Raw genomic sequence first — 23,075 nt, 5'->3', positions numbered from 1 at the left:
AAATCCTCCTTGGCCATGGTATACTATTTCAATATGACCTTTTAAGATTTTGAACCAATATTGATAATTGAGGTTTGTCTCTAATTTCTCTTTTTGGTGCTATTTTGGTAATTTTGGTATCATCGGATATGCTGTATTCATAAACAAAAATGTTTTAAGCTCTCTTTTTATTCTCTATCCCAGAACAATTTAAACAACATTGATGATATTTTTCCTTAAAGAACTATTCGGGGATGTGGCTTCTTTTCTTGGGGGAGGCAGTTCCTATACAACATTCTACATTTCTCTGATGGTAACTTACTTGTTTAAATGTTGTATCTCCTCTTGGTATCAGTTATGGTAACCTACATTATTATATTCTTCTAGAATATCATCTATTTTTTCAAATTATTTTATGGAGAGTTGAGGAAAATAGATTCACATGATTCTTTTAAGTTCTTATGCATGTGTGGTTATTTATAATTATTTTGTTTTTGTGTTTTCTCTCATTTGTCCTTAGTTTATATACTGTGTTGGTTTTCTAATGAAGTATGTACAATACTTTATTTTCAGTAGCGCTACTGTTTCTAATTCATTTATTCCTACTTTTATTTGTAGACGTATAAATCACTACATATAACTTATCTGGGCTTTCCTTAAATTCATTTTGTTCTTTTTCTAATATTGTGAATCAGATGCTTACTGATTTTCATTATTTCTTATTTATTAATGTACATAGGACCACAAGTAACCCACAATCCTCTTGTTGAAACTATAAGAACTGAAAGTAGGGCCAGGTGTGGTGATGCATTCCTGTAGTCCTAGCTACTCAAGAAGCTGTGGTGGGAGTATTGCTTGAGCCCAAAAGTTCAACTCCAGCCTGGGTAACATAGCAAGATCCTGTCTCTAATTTTAAAAAGTAAAATAAAATAAAATAAAATGAAGAACTGAAAGTAGGAAAAGTCTACGCTTCAGGCCACAGATTAAACCAGGACCATCTCATTTGAGGTTCATTTTCTTGCAATATATTTCTGTCGTCTCTTATCTAGCTTTCTAAATCAGTAAAACAGCTACAAAGCAAGGCAAGAAAATTAAAAAAAAAAAAAAAAAATTGAATGAAATACCCTGCGTCAAAAATCCCAGTGAGCACAATATAAGTGGGGAAATGATGTACACAGGGAAAGAAAGTAATATTCATGAGCTAATTTCTTCATCTTTTGTAAGGGTATCAGAAGACAATGTTTGGAATACCAAGCAGAAAAATTCTAAAAGATCTTAAAATATATAAATACATAAAGGTAACAACTTGTAGAACTAAAAACTTTTCTAATTCAAAGGGTGGGGTGGTATAAAGAAGAGAGTGAGAAAAAAACAGACCTAATAAACAACAAAACAAGAATAAATAACACAAGAAATACAAAAAAGAAAAAGGCAGAGGGAAGAAAATAGCTGTAATACATGTTAACTCAATAAACTCACCTTTTAAGGAAAGGAAAATATTTAAACCAGTTCAAAAAACTAAACATCAGCTTGTCTAAAGGATTCAGAAATGTTTGAAGTCAGGGATGATGACAACAATATGGTGCTTGAGTAGAATTAGGTAAACATCAGTAAAACAAGAGCTCAGAAATAGACCCTGGTATGCATAAGAAATCAATAAAGGTAAAGGAGGCAAGTTACACTAGTAGGGAAGAGAATAACCATTCAAAAACTGGTGTTAGAAGAACAAGTTTCAGTTTGGGAGGGAGTTTGAGAGGTGTTTTCCAACACACTTCAGAGACAAGAACATGTTGAGAACAGTTCCTTTATCTCTAGGTATCCTCCACTTACCTGGGCACAGGCCTCTGTTCATCCCTCCTTTTATCACCCAAGGGTCTTTCTCTTGCTCCAGTAAGGAGATCACATCTGGTTTAGAAATGCAAAGACCTGCATGTAAAAAGACATATAAAAATTGCCTATGCTGTGGAAAACTATGGGAAATTCTGATAATGGCATAAAAGACTACTGAGTCATGGGGAGGCAACAGGAGGAAGATACTCTTACCCACTGAAACTAGGTTCCTGTAGTTTTCTAACATCACCTTCTTGTACAAACTTCTCTGAGCAAGATTCAGCCACTCCCATTCATCTTGGGAAAAGTCTATGGCCACATCTGTGAAAGTCACTGAACCCTAAAATGACACAAATATGATCTTGCTCACTCAGTGTTCACATTCCAATGCAGCTCTAGGGTAAAGAGTTATGCTGTTCTCACTTTGGGATTAAAAACACTATGTATAAGTAACTGCACTAAGGGTCTAAATGATCCGGGTCAGGTAAGTTATTGGACAACTTTTCTGCCTAGTTATGCTGTACATATTAGGAAAAAGAAAAAAATGAGATACTCCTTGCTCTTCAAACATTTGCAATTCTAGGTGGCGAGAATACATTACCAATGAAAAAATGCTGACTACATTCAAAACAGGATATAATCAAGTGCTAACGCAATGCTATTCATGTTAGGAGCTAAATCACTTCTCTACATGGAGAAGCTAAAGAGCTCTGGAACTGTGAGAAAAACTTGCAAGGAAGGATGCTGACCTGATGAACATGATTTCAATCTCCACAATATTTTCTAAGAAATCTTAGTGTTCTTGAGATGTTAAGAGGTATGCCTAAAAAATGAAAGGAAAAAAACACCTAGCTATAGTCTTTTCTTCTGAAATAAAAGTATATTTGTATTAGGAGAGAAGAACACATTTGAAAAGTTGTTTTTCATTTTCCTTTTTTATTTACTTCTTCATTTTGTAGAGACAGGGTCTTACTATATTGCCCAGGCTGATCTCAAACTCCTGGCCTCTCACAATCCTCCCACCTCAGCCTCCCAAAGAGTTGGGATTATAGGCCTGAGCCAACATGCCCAAAAGTTGTTTTTTGATAATCTAATGGGAAATTATCAGGAGAAATAATGTGATGTGAGCACATATCAAGCAACCTGTGTTTTGTTACATGAGCTCCATTTCCTAACCAACCCACAAAGTGATCCACTGGACTGTTACTGGGAGATTTTCAATTTTTTTATGACTTCACTTATATCAACATCAGACTTTTAAATAAATACCAGTTTTGAATAAATCAGAAAAAAGGTCAGATTACTCCAATGAATTTGGTCTGTAGTACTGACTAGCTGGGTGAGGTTGGCCAAATTTAACTTCCCTGTGCCTCAGTTTTCCCATCTGAAAAATGGAAATATAGTACTTGCTTCATGGCAGCACCGTGAAAATTAAATGAAGAAACAGATCTAAAATGCCTGGCATGATGTAATTGCTTAAGAATTGTTGCCTATGATAAGGATGAAGAAGGACAGAAGGGAAAAAACAGAGAGAGAAGAAGAGAAGGCCAAGAAGAACAGGTGAAACATTTCATTTAGTATTTCAATCATAATTCTTACATCTTATTTTACCTAACTGTAGTATGCTACAATAGTTTAGACATGGTCTCTGAATCTAGATTACCTATATTAAAATACTGTTCTGTTTAGTTAAGCTATCAGCTTTGTTTTTAACCATTGAAGATATTTTTATAAACTCAAGAGAACAGTCTATTGTATTTACATATAATATTTCCCATTTCTGTTGCACTTCCTTCACCCTGATGCTCCAAGTTCCCTTCTGGTATAATTTCTATCTGAAGAACTCCCTTTAGTGATTCTTGCAGAATTCTGGCAGTGAATGTTCTTAGTTTTCTTTCCTATGAGTAACTTTATTTTATCTGCATTCCTAAGGGCTACTTTCCCTGGACATAGTATTCTAGGTTGACAGTTCTTCATCGTTTTTCAGTGGCTGGTTTTTGAGATTTTTTTGTCTTTAGTTTTCAGCAGTTTGATTATCAACTAGAAGGCTTCTCCTGCAGCTCTTTCTGTCCACATCATTACCCACTTGCAGGTTTTGAGTCTCTTGAAGGTAAACGCACCATGGTCTGGTGGTACTTCAAATCTGGGGCTTTTTCCCCAATCTGACTGCTACTTTTTTTTTTTTTTTTTTTGAGACAGGGTCTTGTTCTGTTGCCCAGACTGGAGTGCAGTGGTACAATCTTGGCTCACGGCAACCTCCACCTCCCAGGTTCAAGTGATTCTCATGCCTCAGCCTCTTGAATAGCTGGGATTACAGGCATGCACCACCACACCTGGCTAATTTATATATATATATATATATTTTTTTTTTTTTTTTTTTTTTTTTTTTTTTTGTAGAGACAGGGTTTCACCATGTTGGCCAGGCTGGTCTTGAACTCCTGGCCTCAGGTAATCCACCCGCCTCAGCCTCCCAAAGTGCTGGGATCACAGGTGTGAGTCACTGTGTCCAGTCTGCCTGCTACTATTTACTTTACAGAGACCTCAGATTGCTGTTCCAGGCATGCTGTCCTGGTTTTATAGCAACTTTCACTGGGAAAAAGAGTGGAGTGTGCATAGTCCATCTTAACCTTTATGACAAATTCTGCCACTCTTAAAATATTTTCCTCTGGCAACTGACATGAATGCTTTTGTTTAAAATGTCCAAATGCGCTAAGAAACAAGTTACCTTGGTAGTGTATGTTTCATGGCATTATACCTAAGAAAAGGTGTCATGCTCTGGCCATAAGTTGTTATGCCTATTATAAAAAAAAAATTTTTGCCAGGCACAGTGGCTCACACCTGGAATACCAGAACTTTGGGAGGCCAAAGCTGGCAGATCACTTGAGGTCAGGAGTTTGAGACTAGCCTGGCCAACATGGTGAAACCCCATCTCTACTTAAAAAAAAAAAAAAAAAAAAATTAGCCAGGTGTGGTGGCACAGGCCTGTAATCCCAGCTACTTGGGAGGCTGAGGCAGAAGAATCATTTGAACCTGGGAGGTGGAGGTTGCAGTGAGCCAAGATTGCACTACTGCACTCTGGCCTGGGCAACAGAGTGAGACTCCATCTCAAAAAAAAAAAAGACAAAAAACAAAAAGAAAACTTAACTACTCCATTTTAAAAATTTTAATTTTCTAAGTTTGTAAACCAAATTCAATACTTTCTTACAATAAGCAATTTGCTGGTGAAACTAGATTAACAGTTTATCTTAATCAGAACATGAACTGTAGCTCTGAAGCTTCTATTGTTGGCCATAAAAATAATAAAATTTAAAATGTTCTAGGGTAGGGTCAGTTTGAGAAACTTTAATCCACAAGGAATGAAAAACTAGGAATTTAGTCAAAGAAAATAATCAGAGATGAGGGCAAAAATTCAACTACAAGAATAATTACTGCAACACTCTATTAACAGCAGATAATTGTCAACAATTTACCTACGGAACAACAAGGGACTGACTAAACAGATTATGGTATTCAACCTAGAAAGAAGAAAGGATGTAAAACATTCCTTGGCATTTTAAGATGTTCACGGCTCCATGGTCAAATGGGGAGAACAAACCTTTGCATACTCTGTTCAGAATGCCATCAATCCCATATGCCTGCACTTCCTCCATTTCATTCAAGGCGTAACTCAGGAATCACTTCCTCTGTGAAGTCCCCCCAACCCTTCCTGCCCTCAGCAGTGAGTAGGATGGTGCAGGCTATATCCTGCTCAAGGATCCCTCACCAAGGAGGCAGGAAGGAGCTAAAATACGGTAGACTTCCTCTTGCCATATTGTGCGGCCTGTTACAGAGCTTCATCAGTAGAGAGGAAGGGGCACTTTTTTTTCTAATTCACCCAAAGACATCATATGGGCTATTAATGGCCCTTCCCAAGTATTCCACTGTGAGTCTACTCTCTGCTTGCAGCACTTCTCACACTGCGTAAGTGTTTGCTGCCTTTTCATTTCTCCAGCAGATTATAACCTCTCTGAGAATCAGGACTGAGACTTAGGAACCAGGCATGGAAATTTCCTCTGAGGATTGTACTTCTGCTTTGTCAGATGCCTATGAAAAGACTGAGCACAAGGGAAGGGCTCAGACTGGGTCATTTCCTGAATGAAAAATAAACAATGAGCAGGAAGGAGAGAAGGAACCTCTGAGAGGGCACTGGGCTGTGTGAGTCTATCCCTCACTCACAACCCCATCACATATCAGAAAGGGAAGAAACAGGAAACAGGCCTCAGGGTGGAACTCTTAAGCACAATATTTTCAGAAGAAAACAAGTATTACCAAATCCAGAAAAGCAAAACTATTTTAGTGGGGAGAGGGGGAATACTAACTCACCAGGGACATGGCTTTACAAAGTTTAATTCCTGCCACCTCTACCTCTTCCTGGCTCTTCATTTGGAGAAGAGCTTTACTCTGGGATTGTAGAGCTGGGGAGAAAAAGAAGTAGTGAGAAACCAAGTAGCACTAATAATCAAAGTCTGAAAATGCTTTCTTCCCTTCAGCTTCTTCTGTCCTCACTCACAGTCCTCACTCCAACTCCCCCACCCCACAGTCCTGATGCTCTTTGGGAGACTTGAAATATATAGCTGGGGTTCCCCTCTGCTCTGGGTTTTCAGGATGAGCATAATATCTCTTGACCCCCTCTCCCCATCAGCCACCAATTCATTAACAACAGATTTATTAATACTAGCCTGTGTGTGTGTACATTTTTTTTTTCTAAGACAGGGACTCACTCTGTTGCCCAGGTTGGAGTACAGTGACGTGATCATAGCTCACTGTATCTTCAAACTCTGGGCTCAAGGGATCCTCCTGCTTAGGCCTCCTAAGTAGCTAAGATTACAGGCATGTGCCACCATGCCCAGCTAGTTTTTTTACTTTTGATAGAGATGGGGGTCTCACTATATTGCCCAATTGCTCACTATATTGCTTGAGGCCAGGAGGTGTCAACCTCCTGGAGTTAGGTATCTGGTCAACCTCCTGGCCTCAAGCAATCCTCCTGCCTTGGCTTCCCACAGTGCTGGGATTACAAGCATGAGCCACCATGTCTGTGCTGCATATATTAATACTGTCTTTAAATCTCCAAAATCTTCAAACAGAATCGGGTATATTGTCACCATTTTACACAAGAAAGCTCTGGGAAGTCAAGTCTTTTCCACAAGTCACACAAATTTGTAAATAACCTAGTCACCAACCTAGGTCTGGCTGACTCTATCACAGAAGTTATTTGCTCATATACCAGAAAATAACAGAAAATAAGTCCTCTGTGCAGTTGGCCAGGATTTGTGAACATTCTATAAGACAAATTCCATGGAGAATTCCATCTTTTCCAGAGAGAGGCATTCCTTTCGTTACAACAGAGTCCATGTGACTTGCAGACAACCAAATGAAAAAATCCTCATGAGGCCTAGGATCTCATTTTGTTTTGTGACAAACTACAGTGTTGAAGCAGTCCCTTGACTCCACTGAGCCATGTTTCCTTAATTAGGAAGGAAGAGGATAAAGTATCTGAATTAATTCTAGTTTCTTTCATCTAAATTCCACTGCCTTCTCAAAGGATTATCATAATGATGATAAAAATGAACACATTACATGGCAGGGACTATACCAAGTGCTTTACATGTATGAGGTCATTTAATCCTTATGACAGTACTGTGAGGTATATAATATTACCATCTCCATTTTACCTAAGAACTTAGAGTCATAAACTTTTTAAGAAAAAAACCCCAAACCTGCTCAGTGGAGGTTCTGGCATATGAACTATTTAGTTATTTAACCCTTTCAGAGTCAGTTTCTTTAATTGTCAAAAGTGGCTAAGAAACCTACCTGAGGCAGTAGTTGAGGAAACTACATGACAGCCAGTGACTCTGGAGTCAGCCTGTTCTGGATCTGAATCCCGGTTCTTCCACTTGCTAGTGATTACTTATCCTCTCTATGCTTCTGTGTCTTCATCTGTAAAAAAGAGGTAAGTAGTTCCTACTTCATAATGTTGTGAAGTTTGGTGCTGATACTCCCAAAAGGTCTTAGAACTGTGTCTGGCACATAATAAACACTCATTAAACATTAGCTATTACTATAGCATGCAGGAAACTAAACAAGCACAGAACAATATGGCTAAAAATAGCCCTTCCTCCCCCTTTCTCTTTATTGGAGTGGGAGGCCAGAGGGGAGGGAGAGAAGCCCAAGGAATGGGGATATCTTCCGTTATTGACTAGAACGTGATTAAGCCATAGAAAGGCTGGAATGCCTCGGCATTTCTGGGTGAAGCTGTGAATCTCGCCTTCTTCCCAAATCCTACAGTGATAGATGGGACAAGGCTCTGACGGGTAAAAATCTAAATGCTGAGCTATTCCTTCAACAGCAGCAGAGTACCCAGAAGTAATGCTATAATGGGTAATATTACGGGTAGTGTTCTCTCCCATGGGCCCTTAGTGATATACCAAGGACCTGAGTCAGGTTATCTGGTTAGGTGTCTCTGGCCAAGTCAAGGTCCCTCCCTAACTAAACCCAGCTCCACTCTGACCCAAGGTGACCCTCCAAATCTTTCGACTTCCAGGTCCACTAGCCTTAGAAACGGGGGACATCCTCCTCCAGCACCTGAACCCCGAAAGACAGCACCCAAAACCTCAATGTCCACTCCGGCAGCCACATCCGTCATCTGTCACTCTTACCTGTGTACTCAGTCCCCATGGTCTTCGCTCCTCGCCGTCCTGTGGACATGGAGCCCTGTCCTGGGCTCTGCCCCTTCCAGATAGGGCTGACAGGAAATGCTTCAGCCGAGGCTGCCCCGCCCGGGCAACTTCCCCGGGCTCTAGGACTTTGCCCACACTGGGCTCTACGCAGTCGATACAGGGGAGAACGGGGTAAGCCTCCTCCGGCCGGGTTTCCTGCTCTTGGCCACTTAAAGTGCTTCACTCATTCCAACACACACCGCCTTCCGCACGCCGCCGGGCCATGCACGCAGGCGCAGATTCGCGGCCACGCACCGGACAGTCACACACCGGGCCGCCATCCCCGCGCGCGCTCGCCCCTCCTCAGCACAGCACCGCACGCTCACCACGTATGGGCACTCACAGCCACCAGGCCACACGCGCACGCTCACGCCCGCCGCCCACACAGGAACCAGGACACCGCCCCCGCCGCGCCCCAGTCCAGCCTCGGCCGCTGCCCCGCCCAGACCTCCCTTCTCCTCAGCAACCGGCGGGACGTGCACTCGCCCGGCTTTGGGTCCTTTCCGGAAGTGGGCGTGTCCTCCGCTGCAATAGCCCCTGGGAAGTGTAGTCCGGAACGGAGGCGGCGTTCAGAAATAGGGCGCTGGCTTTGCCAGGAGCGGCTCCTCTCCAAGCCTGGCGGTCACTGCCCTGTGTCCCCTTTTGGGCCTCTCCTGGTCCTCCTGGTTGGATTAGGAGGCCTCTCAGCCCGGAGTCTGGGTCGCCGAAGTACAGGCCCCTTCACTGAAGCGACCCACGGCGCAGGGGTTTCTGGAAGCCATCGCCAGGCTCCGAGTGTTCAGATGCAGCTGCCAGGCTCAGGACGCAGAGAACTGGCTTCCAGCTCGCAGGAGCGCCTGTCCGTGGTGGGTAGGGTCGCAGGCGTGGGGTGTGCAGGAGCAGTGGGACAGCACTGAAACGCAGTCGGTAAGGCGTAGCGGCTACCCTCTGGAGAGGAAAACCATGACAGGGCGGGGCTTGGGGCGCGGGCGGGGCCTACGCGATAGAAAAGTGAGGAGATTGGGATTTGTCTGCTTTGCACACTTGTGACTTTCTGATGGTGCGCGTGTGGAACCTGTTTTATTTCATGCCTACTAGTTACTGCTCTCTGATATACGGTACGCCCCTCACCTCCCCCCACCCCATTTTATCTCTCCCTGCTGGAAGGAGGGTTCCAAGAAGGCACACAGCTTCCGTCCTGTTCAGGGTTATATTCTCAGTGACTAAAACAGCACATAGTAGGTGCTTAGTTTTTTATTTTTATTTTATTTTTTAGGAAATCACGAAATCTAGCATTGCCAGTCTCACCATGACACAACATGTTATAGGCTGAATATGTCCTCCCAAAATTACTATGGTGAAACCCTAACCCCTAGTGTGATGACGTTAGGAGGTGGGACTTTGGGGAGGTAACTGGTTTTAGATTAGGTCATAAGGGTGATACCCTTATGATGGGGTCAGTGCACTTATTAAAAAAGAGGAAGGAGGGGTCTCCATGTTTACACAACCACCAAGCAAAGGCCATGTGAGGACACAGCAGGATGTAACCCATTTGCAAGCCAACGGGGCCCTCACCAAGAACTGAATGTGCCAGCACTTTAACTTCCCAGCCTCCAGAATTGTGAAAAATAAAGTCTCTTAGTCAAGTCACTTAGTCTATGATATTTTGTTATAGCAGCCCCAGCTGACCAAGATACAGCATCATAGATACTGGCTCACCAGAAACTAACTCACCCTCCCAGTCACACTCAATCACCCAAGGCCACACAGTGACATCTAGACTGGACTCTCCTGGATCCAATTTATGTCAGACATCATAAACAACATAATAAAGCCAAGTCTAGCTGTGAAGATACTTTAACTATGAAACAGCAAATATCATCTTAGAGCTTGTAACGTTTGTGGTTATTTGAGTTGGATGAAAATGATAATATTCTCATTTTAGCTCTGGCATATAAAGAGCTCGGAAGCCTTCATTCCCATCTTCACAACAACAAAATCATTCAACAAACTGAAAATCAACTTTTCTTAGATCCATCAGAGAACTGAAGATAGAAAGGTAACTGACACCCCAAAATCCCGAGAAAGAAAAATACATAAAATTACAGCCAAGATTAGCTTACTTGAAGCAGAAGCCACTGGAGTTATAAACTGGTAAAAACTTTTATTTTTTATAATTTTGATGAATTGCTGGAGGCTTAGTGTGGGCTAACTTGTGAGTTAAAAACTCCTAGGGGCCCAATCTTAGATGGGCCCCCACACTTTCGTGAATTTTACCTCCAGAAACCCTATCAAATTCTCTCAGTGAAGAATGGGGAAAAATCTCAGGTTTTTGGGCAAGGGGAGGAGAAAAGTAAGCACCACATTTTCCATAATAAACACCTGCACTCCAAGAAAAACTACTTACTAGAGTCTTGTTGGACCTTGGGGAGAGGCAATTGGCCAGCTCCAGTCCCTCTATAGCCTGTCTGTCTCAGTAAGGCAGGATTTTTGAAAGGCTAAGAAGTGCTTCTGAAGATCACAGTCCAAGGCCTCAAGCCCACTAGAAAAATAGTATTTAATAATAAGATTATAGAATGCTTCCCTCCCCACTGTACCTCACTGCCACACTAATGGGGCTCTGGTCAATAACAGTAGATTACAACAGAGAAAACTGCAAGGCACAGACTCTATTTAAGAAGGAGTTCTTAGGGAAGCCCACAGAAGGAGAAGCATCTTGGAAAAAGTAGACAACATGCAAGAACAGATGGGTAATGTAAGCAGAGAGATGCAAACTGTAAGAAGGAATCAAAAGGAAATCCTAGCAATTGAAAACCATTGTAACAGACATGAAGATTACCTTTAGTGAGCCCCTCAGACTAAGACACTCTGAGAAATGAATGGGTGAGCTTGAAGATATGTTAATAGAAATTTCCCAAACTGAAATACAAAGAGGAAAAAAAAAGAATGAAAAAAGAAAAAGAACAGAATATCCAAGAACCATGGGACAATTACAGAAGGTGAAATATATGCGTAACTGGAATACCAGGAGGGGAAGAGAGAAAGGAGAGAAAATATTTGAATAATGACTGAGAATTTTCTAAAATTAATGACAGGACACCAGGCCAGTGTGGTGGCTCATGCCTGTGATACATACCAGCACTTTGGGGGGCCAAAGTGGGAGGATTGCTTGAGCCCAGGAGATTGAGACCAGCCTGGGCAACATAGTGAGACCCCATCTTTAAAAAAATACAAAAATTAGCCGGGTGTGGTGCTGTGTAATTGTAGTCCCAACTACTCGAGAAGCTGAGGTGGGAGGATTGCTTGAGCAAGCCATTATCCTGCCACTGCACTCCCTCCTGGGCAACAAAGCAAGACCTTGTCTCTAAAAGCAAGAAAACAAACACCAAACCACAGATCTAGGAAGATCAGAGAACACAAAGCATTATCACAAGTCACCTTTTGACATTATCACCAGCACTATTCAGTCCTTTTAATTTCTTTCAATCCTTTTTGTTTCAGATTAAATAATTTCTATCTATATTCAACTTCATTAACTATTCTGCCACCTCAAATTTCCTGTTAAACCTATCCAGTGGATTTTTACTTTCAAACATTGTATTTCTTAGTTTTAGAATTCCCATTTTCAAACTGATTTACTCATTTGCTGAAATTCCCATCTGCTCATCCATTAATAGCATTTTCCTTTATGTCATTCAGAATAATTATAATAGGGGCTTTATCATTCTTGTTTGCTAATACCAGTGTTTAAGGATTTGTATTGCTTTCTTCTCTTGAATGTGGCTTATGTTTTCACATATCTAATAATTCTTACTCTATGAGTAACACACTGTAGAGACTCTGTTGTCTCTACAGACAAAAAGTCCGTCTGAATTTTGTTTTTAGTAGGCAGTTCACTGTGTTGAACTCAATCTCCAACTCTTGTCTCACTGAGACAGGTAATGCTAAAGCCTTTGTTGGGATGCTTGGAGTTTGTCCAATACTTGTATAGAAAAGGGACTGTCCAGAAATTTTGGGTCTTAAGTGCTGGTGAAGGCTAAAAGGATAGTGAGAAATACTCCATTAAAAACTGGAGGAAAGAGGGTCCTTGTTATGTAATGGCAGAAAGTTTAGCAGCCTGTTATTTGCAGCTAATGCAGGAAGAAGAACTGGGTGACGTAGCTAAGATTTTCAAGGAATGTGCTGAATGTCCTGTTGCTGTTGTTTTCTTGCTGCTTACAGAAACATGCAAAAGAAGAGATATAAATTGAGGGAATAACTGTTAACAAAGAGGACATTAGGATTTTGAAAATTCTTAGCCTCTGTAGGTGGCAAACAATGCCAAAAACAAGAAAGGGCTTCCAAGCAAAAATGAAATCCAAGTTACTGCTAGGAAAACTGGTCTAGATAAAAACTAAGGGCATGGCTGTAAAATCCAGAACCTCAGAAAGACCAAAGCTGGTATCTCAGTACTATTTAACCACACAAAAGCTCTGTAAAGAGATTAAGGCGACCTGACAGACACTCTTATTCAAATAATTAGGCCTCTAAGAAGCTTATCTCAAAGAGATTTGTGGCTGTGGCTTTTGTCTTGTGCAGTGAACCCCAATGAGGTTCTCATGAAGCCCACAACATTTTCAGAAGACTCAGTAGAAACTCTGCCAACTGGAGTGAGAGGGACAGAGACAGCACAAAATGAAGAGACGCCACTAGATTCCTAAAACTCTAGTAAGCAAGCTAAGAAAGCTATTGATAGCATTTGGAGAGATACCTAATGTTAAATGACGAGTTACTGGGTGCAGCACACCAATATGGCACATGTATACATATGTAACTAACCTGCACGTTGTGCACATATACCCTAAAACTTAAAGTATAATAATAAAAAAAAAGCTATTGAACTGCAAATGCGTTGCAGGAAAAAAGGATTCAGAGGGCAGAACCAAGAGTTCAGATGGTGGATAATTATCCCAGGCCATGTGACCTAATAAAGGAATTTCCAAACATTTGTCTGGTTAGATTTCAGAATTGCTATGGAGCAGTGATTCCACTGTATCGGTTAGGGGTGGTGGAGGAGGGGAGACAGATAACTTGTTCTTTATTTTCTTTAAGTCTAAAGGTCTGCAGATCAATACCCATACTTAAGAAAGTATATCTTATGGGCTTCATTAGCACCTGTACCTATGTTAGATGACAAGATTATTGACTTTGAGGTGATCCTGTAATGAGGTGAGACTCTGAGAGGGGCCTTGGAAGGAGTGAGTGTATTCTGCATCTGGAAGGGAAATGAATCACTGGGAGGTGGGGACGGAGGAAGACTGTGGTGGACAGCCATTACGATGTCTCTCAAAGTTCCCCACCTCCTCTTACTCAAACTATTTTGTAATCCCCTCCCCTTGAAGGTAGGCTAAACCTAGTGACTCCTAATTAACCAAATACAAAGATGAGGGGATATCACTTCTAATATTAGGTTACAAAAGGACTTCATCTTCTATCTTGGGCATCCTCTCCTGCTCACTCACTTTTCAAGGAAGCCACTTGCCATATTGTAAGCTGCCCTACAGAGAGGCCCACATGGAAAGGAACCAACATGTCCAGCCAAAGCCTGTAGGGAACTGAGTCCTGCCCACTTACTTGAGCTTGAAAGCTGATTATCCTCTAACAAAATCTTCAGATGACTGCAGCACTGGCCCACAGCTAAGACTGTAGCCATCTGAGAGACCTTGAGCCAGAGGCACCCAACTAAGCTGTGCCTAGATTCCTTCCCCAAAGAAACTGAGGTAATGAACGTCTATCTGTTTTCAGCCACTAAGGTTTGGGGATAATTTGTTACAACAACAGGCAACTAACACGCCATCACAGTTCCTACTCTATAACTCAGGGAAAATAGGAATTCTATCATTAGTCAAAGGTATTATATTGATTAGAATTATAGTAGCTGCTATTACAATTGAAATCCAAATATCATTACCTTAACACAATATAAGTTTATTTCTCACTCATATAATAATCCATTGCTGGTGTTCCTTGATGACTGGGGAGCTTTCCTCCAAATAGTGGTTTAGGGACACAGAGTTCTATCTTTCAGCTTTGCCATTCCATATGATTAAGATTCTACTTCCGTCTGGACAGAACATCCTTTTCTTAAAAACCAAGCCCTGAGTGCCATATTGCTTCTATTCACACCACACTGAAGAAAATTCATCTGATAGACAAAACTGGAAGCAAAGGTGCCTGGGCAGACACATCCCAGGATCAATTCCAGACAATAGAAAAGAACACAAACTTTTGGTGGTCATCTAGTCACATCTCATATCATAGATATCATTAACAAATGCACACCCAGGACCTGGAAAAATAGCCACAGTATGCATTTGTGGTCTCAATAGACCTTGTTCTAAGCTACGCTTGTATAAGAATTCTTCCATAAGCCCTCACTCTGCATAAATGCAAGTCTTTTTCGAATTCCCATGGAATTGTTCATAGAAATTTTAATTACAGTCATTCAGACTCCTGAATGACCCAGTCCTGTGCCACTGATTTAAGTCAATGTGAGATTTGGATGCCATGCCATGGAGTGTTTTTAATTAAAATAAAACCTTAGTGCAGTTTCAACGCTGGGGATCAATTATTAATTACAGTGGAAATATCAGAAATCAGAACACTCTAGAGTTCTGAGGTTTGTTATAACCTTTTTACTTTCTTCTCATAGTTAATGATTGCCCTATAATCCAGCCACTACACATGCCACAGTTCTACACAAATCGGATACCCTTTTCAAATGTAATCACTCATGAAAAGTCTCTGCACCTAAAGGTGGAGATATAGGGACATTTTTCAGTGCTTCTTTCATGTCAAAGGAATATGGAAAGGCTATTGGGCCCTGATGGGAACTTGCAGATGAGTGAAGGGCATGGACATAAATGATCCAATCCAGCATTATAAACTTCTGAATTCTTTCAGTCCATCTATATTACGCAAAGTAATTTCTAACCCTGAAAATACACTTGCAACAATGTTCCCTAGATTTTAGATGTTACAATTAATGAAGGAAATTAAATATTTCTGGGTGAGATTAATCTCTTTCCTAACTTTCTGTATTTCAAACTACAGGTCATACTAAGCTCTGATTTTGGTTACCAGCCAAGCAATAATGGTGACCATGTGAGAAAAGGGACAATCAAGTTTTCAGTCACAGGCTGGGTATGGTGTCTCACACCTGTAATCCCAGCACTTCAGAAGGCCGAGGCAGGCAGATCACTTGAGCCCAGGAGTTCAAGACCAGCCTGGGCAACATGGCACAACTATCCACAAAAAATTTAAAAATTCTGGGTGTGGTGGCACACGCCTGTAGTCTCAGCTACTCGAAGAGGCCGAGGTGGGAGGAACGCTGGAGGCCAGGAGATCAAGGCGGCAGCAAGCCATGATTACATCACTGCTCTCCAGCTTGGGGGATAGCAAGACTCTGAGAAAGAAAAGGAAAGAAAAGAAAAGAAGAAAGGCAGGGGAAAGGAAAGGGAAAGGAAGAAGGAAGGAAGGAAGGTTTGTTTCCAGTCACAAGGGAAGCATGGAGAGGAGAATCAGTGGGGAGGTTGCTTAAGGGTTGAGAGGGAGAGTCAAGGGAGAGTCAAAGTTTTGTAAGATCCTTGAATCCTTCTTGTTAGTCTCATTCCAATAATCCAAATTCCAGTATTTCCCTAATTGCTTAACAGAAGTGACACGGTTGTGAATTCAGTGTGGGGAAAAGAGAGGTCAGACTGTTACTGTGTCTATGTAGAAAGAAGTAGACATAAGAGACTCCATTTTGTTCTGTACTAAGAAAAATTCTGCCTTGAGATGCTGTTAATCTGTAACCCTACCCCCAACCCTGTGCTGGCAGAAACACGTGCTGTGTCGACTCAAGGTTTAATGGATTTAGGGCTATGCAGGATGTGCTTTGTTAAACAAGTGCTTGAAGGCAGCATGCTTGTTAAAAGTCATCACCACTCCCTAATCTCAAGTACCCAGGGACACAAAACACTGCAGAAGGCTGCAGGGACCTCTGCCTAGGAAAGCCAGATATTGTCCAAGGTTTCTCCCCATGTGATAGTCTGAAATATGGCCTTGTGGGAAGGGAAAGACCTGACCGTCCCTGAGCCCGACACCGGTAAAGGGTCTGTGCTGAGGAGGATTATTAAAAGAGGAAGGCCTCTTTGTAGTTAAGAGGAAGGCATCTGTCTCCTGCTCGTCCCTGGGGAATGGAATGTCTTGGTGTAAAACCCGATTGTGTGTTCCATCTACTGAGATAGGAGAAAACCGCCTTAAGGCTGGGGGTGAGACATGCTGGCGGCAATACTGCTGTTTAATGCACCAGATATGTTTGTGTATGTGCATATCAAAGCACAGCACATTTTCTAACCTTGTTTATGACACAGAGACATTTGTTCACGTTTTCCTGCTGACCCTCTCCCCACTATTACCCTATTGTCCTGCCACATCCCCCTCTCTGAGATGGTAGAGATAATGATCAATAAATACTGAGGGAACTCAGAGACCGGTGCAGGCGTGGGTCCTCCGTATGCTGAGTGCTGGTCCCCTGGGCCCACTTTTCTTTCTCTATACTTTGTCTCTGTGTCTCTTTCTTTTCTCAGTCTCTCGTCCCACCCAAGGAAAAACGCCCACAGGTGTGGAGGGGCAGGCCACCCCTTCATTCAGTAAGCATCATTGTTGAGCAAATAACTGCATCTACTGCTGCCTTTTTTAGCAAATACAGCCCCATGCTTAAAAGGAGTATGAGATTCTTCCCAACACAGACATACAGGTACTGATTCAATTCCTTAAGGCCAGAATTTCAAGTAGCCTTGAAATTTTAATTACCCAATTTCATTATAAACAGGTATCATATATACTTTTGGAAGTAGTATTCCTCAATACCTTTGTTTTTGGTAGGAGCTATCCAGACCCTAGTGCACAATGGGCTTAGGATCCTGCTATATCATGAATATCCTTTCACAGCACAAAATAGGATTAGGAATTCATCTGTGCTTTGATCTGTCTCACTGGACATCCATCTTGAATACTCTGCTTCTCTACAGTCTAGTAATCATTCTGTAGTATAAATTTCTGCATTGGCTAGCTCTCTTTGCTTGAGAACCAAAGTATTTGACTCTGACTTAAAATGAGAAATATTAGAATACCAGGTAGTTCACAGACTCAAAGAATTTAACTCAAAACCAAGATGTGAGAAAGCAGGAATCATCTCAATGGATCTCAGTGACAGGTGGAGGAATCCTTAGGTTGCTGCCAAAGGATGACTTAATTCAAACGAATTCCAGCCTAGGAGTCATATCCCACATACTTCACAGCAGGTATAATAAAGGTCCCACCAATCAAAATGAATATTGACTAAAACAAAACATCCATTCTGGCCATACTGGTTCATAAAGCTGAATATTGGCCCTGTTCCTGTCCCTGTGTCTCTAATCAAAATACAGAGAATGAATCTGGTTGTCTTACTTGGAGCATGTGTCACTGACAGTTCATCAGAACAATACAGAATGAAGAAAGGGAAAGTGCCCGCAAAATGCTAGGAAAAGTCTGTGTGTTAAAGACAAAACCAGATTTCAACATAGATACTGAGGCTGTGCATGTGTTTGTATGTACATACACACATATATATTCAGTATTAATTTTGACTCTATGACTAGGTCATTTTACCTGTAAGGTTCTGTAAACCACATATTTCATTAAATATGTTGTAGACGCCACTCCATAGAAGTGTATGTAGAGCTTAACTGCTTTCTACTAATCGCACAACACAGTACTGAATAACTACAATTTAGTCAATCCACTTGGCAGGGCGCTGAATTCTTATTTGTCATAATTGAAACAATTCTACAAGAAAACAATATTTATATCTACCTATTTATTCCAATGGGATAAAATTCCTAGATCTGGAATTACTGTTTGAAAAAAATTCACGTTTATAATGTTGATAGGTCATGCCATCCGAGGAGATAGGGGACGAAGTTACACTGCTAATAGTGATCAAGTACCTGTTTTCCCACACTAATACCATTACTGGATATTATCCAAATTTTATATTGTAATCTACCAAGAGCCAGGAAAATGTGGTTTCATTCATATTCTTCTGATTAATGAGGTTAAGAATTTCACGAATTTTCTTTATCCATTTGGATTCTTCAGGGTGATTCGCCTATCAGTGTGCATGGCAAGTTGTTCCCCACTGCTCTGTATATGTAACAGCATTCTGTTATTTTCTATAAGTTGTATACATTTCCCTTCAACTGTCTTTTACAAGTTTTTGGTGCCTTTCACCATGCTGAAGTTTTAGATCGTTGCATAGCCCAACTTGTTCTCGATTTCTTTATGGCTTCTAGGACTCCATGTCCTACTTGATAATACGTTCCTTTTTTCTACATTTGCCTCTAACATGTTATTTTATGATTAGATATGTCAAATATGATAGTCATATTTCTCTGTAAGGTGTAAATGTGCTTCTAACTTTTTTCTTGGAGAGGGTGGATAACCAATTGTCAAAACATAATTTTCCCGATATTGAAATAATAGTGCCATTATATACTAAAATCTCATATGCAAAGAAATCTATTTCAAAAATTTTGGGGAAGAGTGAGGCAGGAGAATCACTTGAGGCAAGGAGCCCAAGACCAGCCTGGGCAACAAAGCGAGACACAGTCTCTACAAAAAAAATATTTTAAGGTTACAGTGAGCTAGGATCTTAGCACTGCACTCCAGCCTGGATGATAGAGTGAGGCCTCCATCTCTTAAAAAAAAAAAAATTCTTGGCCGGGCGTGGTGGCTCATGCCTGTAATCCCAGCACTTTGGGAGGCCAAGGCGGGTGGATCACGAGGTCAGGAGTTCAAGACCAGCCTGGCCAAGATGGTGAAACCCCATCTCTACTAAAAATACAAAAATTAGCCAGGCGTGGTGGCAGGTGCCTGTAATTCCAGCTACTCGGGAGGCTGAGGCAGAGAATTGCTTGAACCTGGGAGGCGGAGGTTGCAGTGAGCCGGGATCACGCCACTGCACTTCAGCCTGGGCAACAGAGTGAGACTCCATCTCAAAAAACAAAACAAAACAAAAAAAACTTCTTGCTATTCTTGCCTAATTATGCTTCCCTGTTACCGTCAAAGTAAATATATCTTACTGGGACTGAATTATAATTTACAAACATTTTAACAATATTGAGTATTTCATCTAGAAAAATATCATTTCTCCTTTTATTGACATCTTTATTTTTCAATATAGTTTAATAATTTCCTTTCACCTCTATTGATAAATGAGTTCCTTTATCATTTGTTTTCTTGTTTCTGATGTGACAGTTGTATTGCCCTCATAAAATTAAAATCTTTTATACATTTTTCTCTACTCTAGAGCAGAGGTTGGCAAACTTTCTGTTAAAGGATAGGAAATATTTGCAGTTTTGCGAGCCATATAGTCTGTCACAGTTGTCTAAAGCAGCCATAGTCAATAGCTAAACAAGTAAGCATGGCTGTGGTTTGATAAAACTCTATTTACAAAAACAAGCAGCAGATAGGATTTGGTCCATGGGCTTTAGTTTGATAACCTCTGCTCCATAGCAGGGATCACACACATTTTCTGTGTAGGATCAGACAGTAGATATTTGGGCTCTGCAGGCCACATGGTCTCCTGTCACAACTGCTCAACTCTGCTGCTACAGCCTGGAAGCAGCACAATCAAGGTGTAAATCACTGTGTGGCTGAAGCCAACAAAACTTTATTTACAGACACCAAAACTTAAATTTCATATAATTTTCATGTTGAAAATATTCTTTTCACTTTTTTCAACCCTTTAAAATTTTTTTAAATTCTAGATCATGGACCATACAAAAACAGTCAGTGAGACTGTGGCCATGAGTCATAGTTTGCTGACCCCTATTCTGGATCAGTTTACCTCACAATGAATGGTTCCTTAAAAGTTTTAATACGGTTCACTTATAAATGTGATTTTTAAACAAGTCAAATCTTGCAAAGTTTTCTAATTCTTGAGTAACGTCAGTTGTTTTAACTTCATGCATATAAATCTTGCATTTTTCTGATTTTTTAAATTCATTTGTCCCAGCTGGCCTATTCATTCATGGTCCCTAGACTTTCTAAAACAAATCAAGTCAAATGTAAAGTTTAATTTTCTCACCAACAAGGTCACATCACCTTACATTCACATAGGGTCAGATGGAAAGCCACAAAACTAACTTGGCATTATAGAATCAAGTTTTAAAACCAACAAAGGCAAAACCTCACCCACTACTGGAGAATTCTGTTCCTGATAGAAAATGTGCTTTTTCCTACCCTCACCCTACTGCATCATTTTTTTATCAGAGCTGACTACTGTAACTTTTCAATGTTCAAATACAAAGTTTTTAAAACAGCTAAGTTTACTGAGCACTTACTATGGACCAGGCACTGTGCTGAGCACATCTCACACATTAACCAATTTAAAGAAACTATAAGTTTTACAAGAGGAGTGAATAAGTTACATTTACACTTATGTGAAGAACTAACTAATAAGGGACAAAAAGAAAACAAAAGGGCAGGGAGATGGGGTTTTAAACTGCTGGAGTAGTCAAACAGAAATGACGTCTCGAGGCTATGGTGATGGGAGGGAGGATGGATTCCAGAGAAATTTGGGAAACAGATCCACAGGATTTGACGTGGAAGGTAAAGAGGGGCATGTTGACGACTCTCCAGTATGAATTCGCTGATGATGAGCTAAGTGAGCAGTTTGCCTGAAGACTTTTCTGCTTTTCTTATAGTTATAAGATCTCTCTCCAGTATGAACTCTCTTATGTTGATTAAGGTGTCCAATTTGGATGAAGGTTTTCCTACATTCCTTACATTCATATGGTTTCTTTCCAGAATGGATTCTCTGATGTACACTAAGGGATTGACGATGACTAAAGGCTTTGCCACACACACTGCATTCATAAGGTTTTTCTCCAGTATGACTTCTGCGATGACAAATAAGGGAGGATTTTGTCTTGAATGCCTTTCCACACTCAATACATTCATAAGGTCTTTGGCCAGTGTGCAGTCTTTGATGTTGAGTACAGGATGAGTTATCACCAAAGGCCTTCCCACATTCCATACATTTATAGGGTTTCTCACCAGTGTGAACTCTCTGATGTTGAATGAGGTGTGTGGTCTGGCTGAAGGCTTTACCGCATTCCTTGCACTCATATGGTTTCTCTCCTGTATGGGTTTTCTGATGCTGTGCAAGGTGAGCCTTCTGGGTGAACGCTTTACTACAAACCTTACATTCATAGGGCTTCTCTCCAGTATGGATTCTCTGATGAGTGGCAAGCTGAGAACTGATGCTGAAGGATTTTCCACACTCCGCACATTCAAAAGGCTTCTCCCCAGTATGAATCCTTAAATGACTGGCAAGGTGTATATTCTGCCTAAAAGCTTTTCCGCACTCTTTACACTTAAAAGGCTTTTCTCCAGAATGTACTCTTTGATGTTGAGTGAGTGATGCATGATGGCTGAAGGCTTTTCTGCAAACATCACATTCATATGGTTTTTCTCCGGTATGAATCCTTTGATGTACAGTAAGGGAGGAACCATACCTGAAGGATTTGTGACATACATCACATTTGTAAGGTTTCTCTCCAGTATGAATTCTCCTGTGTTGATTAAGCCCTATGTGGTCACTGAAGGCTTTCCCACAATCGATGCAATCAAAGGGTTTCTCCCCAGTATGATAGTATCTCCAGTGACGGATAAGGGATGTGTTCTGTATGAAAGCTTTCCCACACTCAATGCACTCATAGGGCTTCTTGCCAGTGTGACATCTCTGGTGTCGGGCAAAGGATGAGCCGTCACTAAAGGCCTTCCCACATTCATTACATTTATAAGGTTTCTCTCCAGTGTGAATTCTCTGATGAACAGTAAGAGATGAGCTCTGGGTAAAAGTTTTCTTACATTCATTACACTTGAAAAGCTTTTTTCCTGCATAGATGCCTGTTTGTTTTATTACCACTGAACTTTTTTGAAAATTTTTAATTGAATCACGATTATGAACTTTCTCTTCTGAATCGTCCAAATAGAACCATCTTCCAGATTTGTTATATGTACGTTCTCTTTCCTTAGAGAGGGTTTTGTTATGAGTAATTGGCTCTTGCCTGAATTGTGTCTCTTGACCTACTGCAAGCTTCCTTCCAAACACATAGTCAGAATCCCAATTTTCTCTGAAACTGGAACAATCAAGTTTAGTGTTTGAGGTTCTGTCTGTTACCCCTTCAGCATATGAATCTTGCTTTGGAAATAATTCCTGGGTCTCATGTACAGATCGCTGGCCTGAAAGATACCAAGAAAACACATATTTCCTTTTTCGTGTGCTAGGAAAAAGGAATCTGCCAAAAGGAAAACTAGTGAATTAATTCACTAATTGGTGAATTCATCAACATACATTTTACAGCTCTAAAAACTATTACATTTAGGGCCAGGCACAGTGGCTTACACCTGTAATCCCAGTGCTTTGGGAGGCTGAGGTGGATCACCTGAGGCAGATCA

The 23,075-nt window shown here is 40.9% G+C and overlaps 3 protein-coding genes across 7 annotated transcripts in view, besides 4 other annotated features; 1 reads left to right on the top strand and 2 right to left on the bottom strand.

The window, feature by feature from the left end:
* Positions 1 to 9,075, bottom strand: part of ZNF470 (zinc finger protein 470) — a 15,427-nt gene extending 6,352 nt beyond the window's left edge. The window contains exons 1-6 of one of the 3 annotated variants that reach the window (XM_047438804.1): positions 9,013 to 9,075; positions 8,505 to 8,668; positions 7,660 to 7,785; positions 6,172 to 6,263; positions 2,023 to 2,149; positions 1,810 to 1,905 (exon numbers count right to left, since the gene is read on the bottom strand). In XM_047438804.1, coding sequence (XP_047294760.1) covers positions 1,810 to 1,905; positions 2,023 to 2,149; positions 6,172 to 6,231 — 283 coding nt within the window. In that variant the 5' untranslated portion in view covers positions 6,232 to 6,263; positions 7,660 to 7,785; positions 8,505 to 8,668; positions 9,013 to 9,075. Of the gene's footprint in view, positions 1 to 1,809; positions 1,906 to 2,022; positions 2,150 to 2,558; positions 2,633 to 6,171; positions 6,265 to 7,659; positions 7,786 to 8,504 lie in introns of those variants that run through there. The other 2 variants (NM_001001668.4, XM_047438805.1) reach the window with 2 other exon arrangements.
* The window catches only part of ZNF470-DT (ZNF470 divergent transcript), a 22,447-nt gene continuing 7,893 nt past the window's right edge, over positions 8,522 to 23,075 (top strand). Inside the window, exon 1 of the mRNA XM_047439806.1 lies at positions 8,522 to 9,470. Coding sequence (XP_047295762.1) covers positions 8,522 to 9,460 — 939 coding nt within the window. The 3' untranslated portion in view covers positions 9,461 to 9,470. The remainder of the gene's footprint in view (positions 9,471 to 23,075) is intronic.
* Positions 8,636 to 8,745: an enhancer, noted in NCBI's record as "active region_15122". NCBI's record gives its function as "activates an Ori minimal core promoter by ATAC-STARR-seq in GM12878 lymphoblastoid cells {active_cell/tissue: GM12878}" and the evidence as "EXISTENCE:reporter gene assay evidence [ECO:0000049][PMID:35858748]".
* Positions 9,126 to 9,335: an enhancer, noted in NCBI's record as "active region_15121". NCBI's record gives its function as "activates an Ori minimal core promoter by ATAC-STARR-seq in GM12878 lymphoblastoid cells {active_cell/tissue: GM12878}" and the evidence as "EXISTENCE:reporter gene assay evidence [ECO:0000049][PMID:35858748]".
* Positions 9,346 to 9,395: an enhancer, noted in NCBI's record as "active region_15120". NCBI's record gives its function as "activates an Ori minimal core promoter by ATAC-STARR-seq in GM12878 lymphoblastoid cells {active_cell/tissue: GM12878}" and the evidence as "EXISTENCE:reporter gene assay evidence [ECO:0000049][PMID:35858748]".
* ZFP28 (ZFP28 zinc finger protein) overlaps positions 19,735 to 23,075 on the bottom strand; it is a 19,862-nt gene continuing 16,521 nt past the window's right edge. For all 3 annotated transcript variants that reach the window (XM_011526463.4, NM_020828.2, XM_011526462.4), the window contains exon 8: positions 19,735 to 22,859. In XM_011526463.4, coding sequence (XP_011524765.2) covers positions 21,151 to 22,859 — 1,709 coding nt within the window. In that variant the 3' untranslated portion in view covers positions 19,735 to 21,150. The remainder of the gene's footprint in view (positions 22,860 to 23,075) is intronic.
* Positions 21,093 to 22,292: an enhancer, noted in NCBI's record as "P300/CBP strongly-dependent group 1 enhancer chr19:57065620-57066819 (GRCh37/hg19 assembly coordinates)". NCBI's record gives its function as "activates an origin of replication core promoter dependent on BRD2, BRD4, P300/CBP, MED14 and CDK7 cofactors, with strong dependence on P300/CBP, by STARR-seq in HCT116 cells {active_cell/tissue: HCT116}" and the evidence as "EXISTENCE:reporter gene assay evidence [ECO:0000049][PMID:35650434]".

Source organism: Homo sapiens, chromosome 19, assembly GCF_000001405.40.
Source record: "Homo sapiens chromosome 19, GRCh38.p14 Primary Assembly".
NCBI lineage: Eukaryota > Metazoa > Chordata > Mammalia > Primates > Hominidae > Homo > Homo sapiens.
Note: the sequence above shows the minus strand (reverse complement) of the source record. Positions and strands in the feature narration are given on the sequence as shown.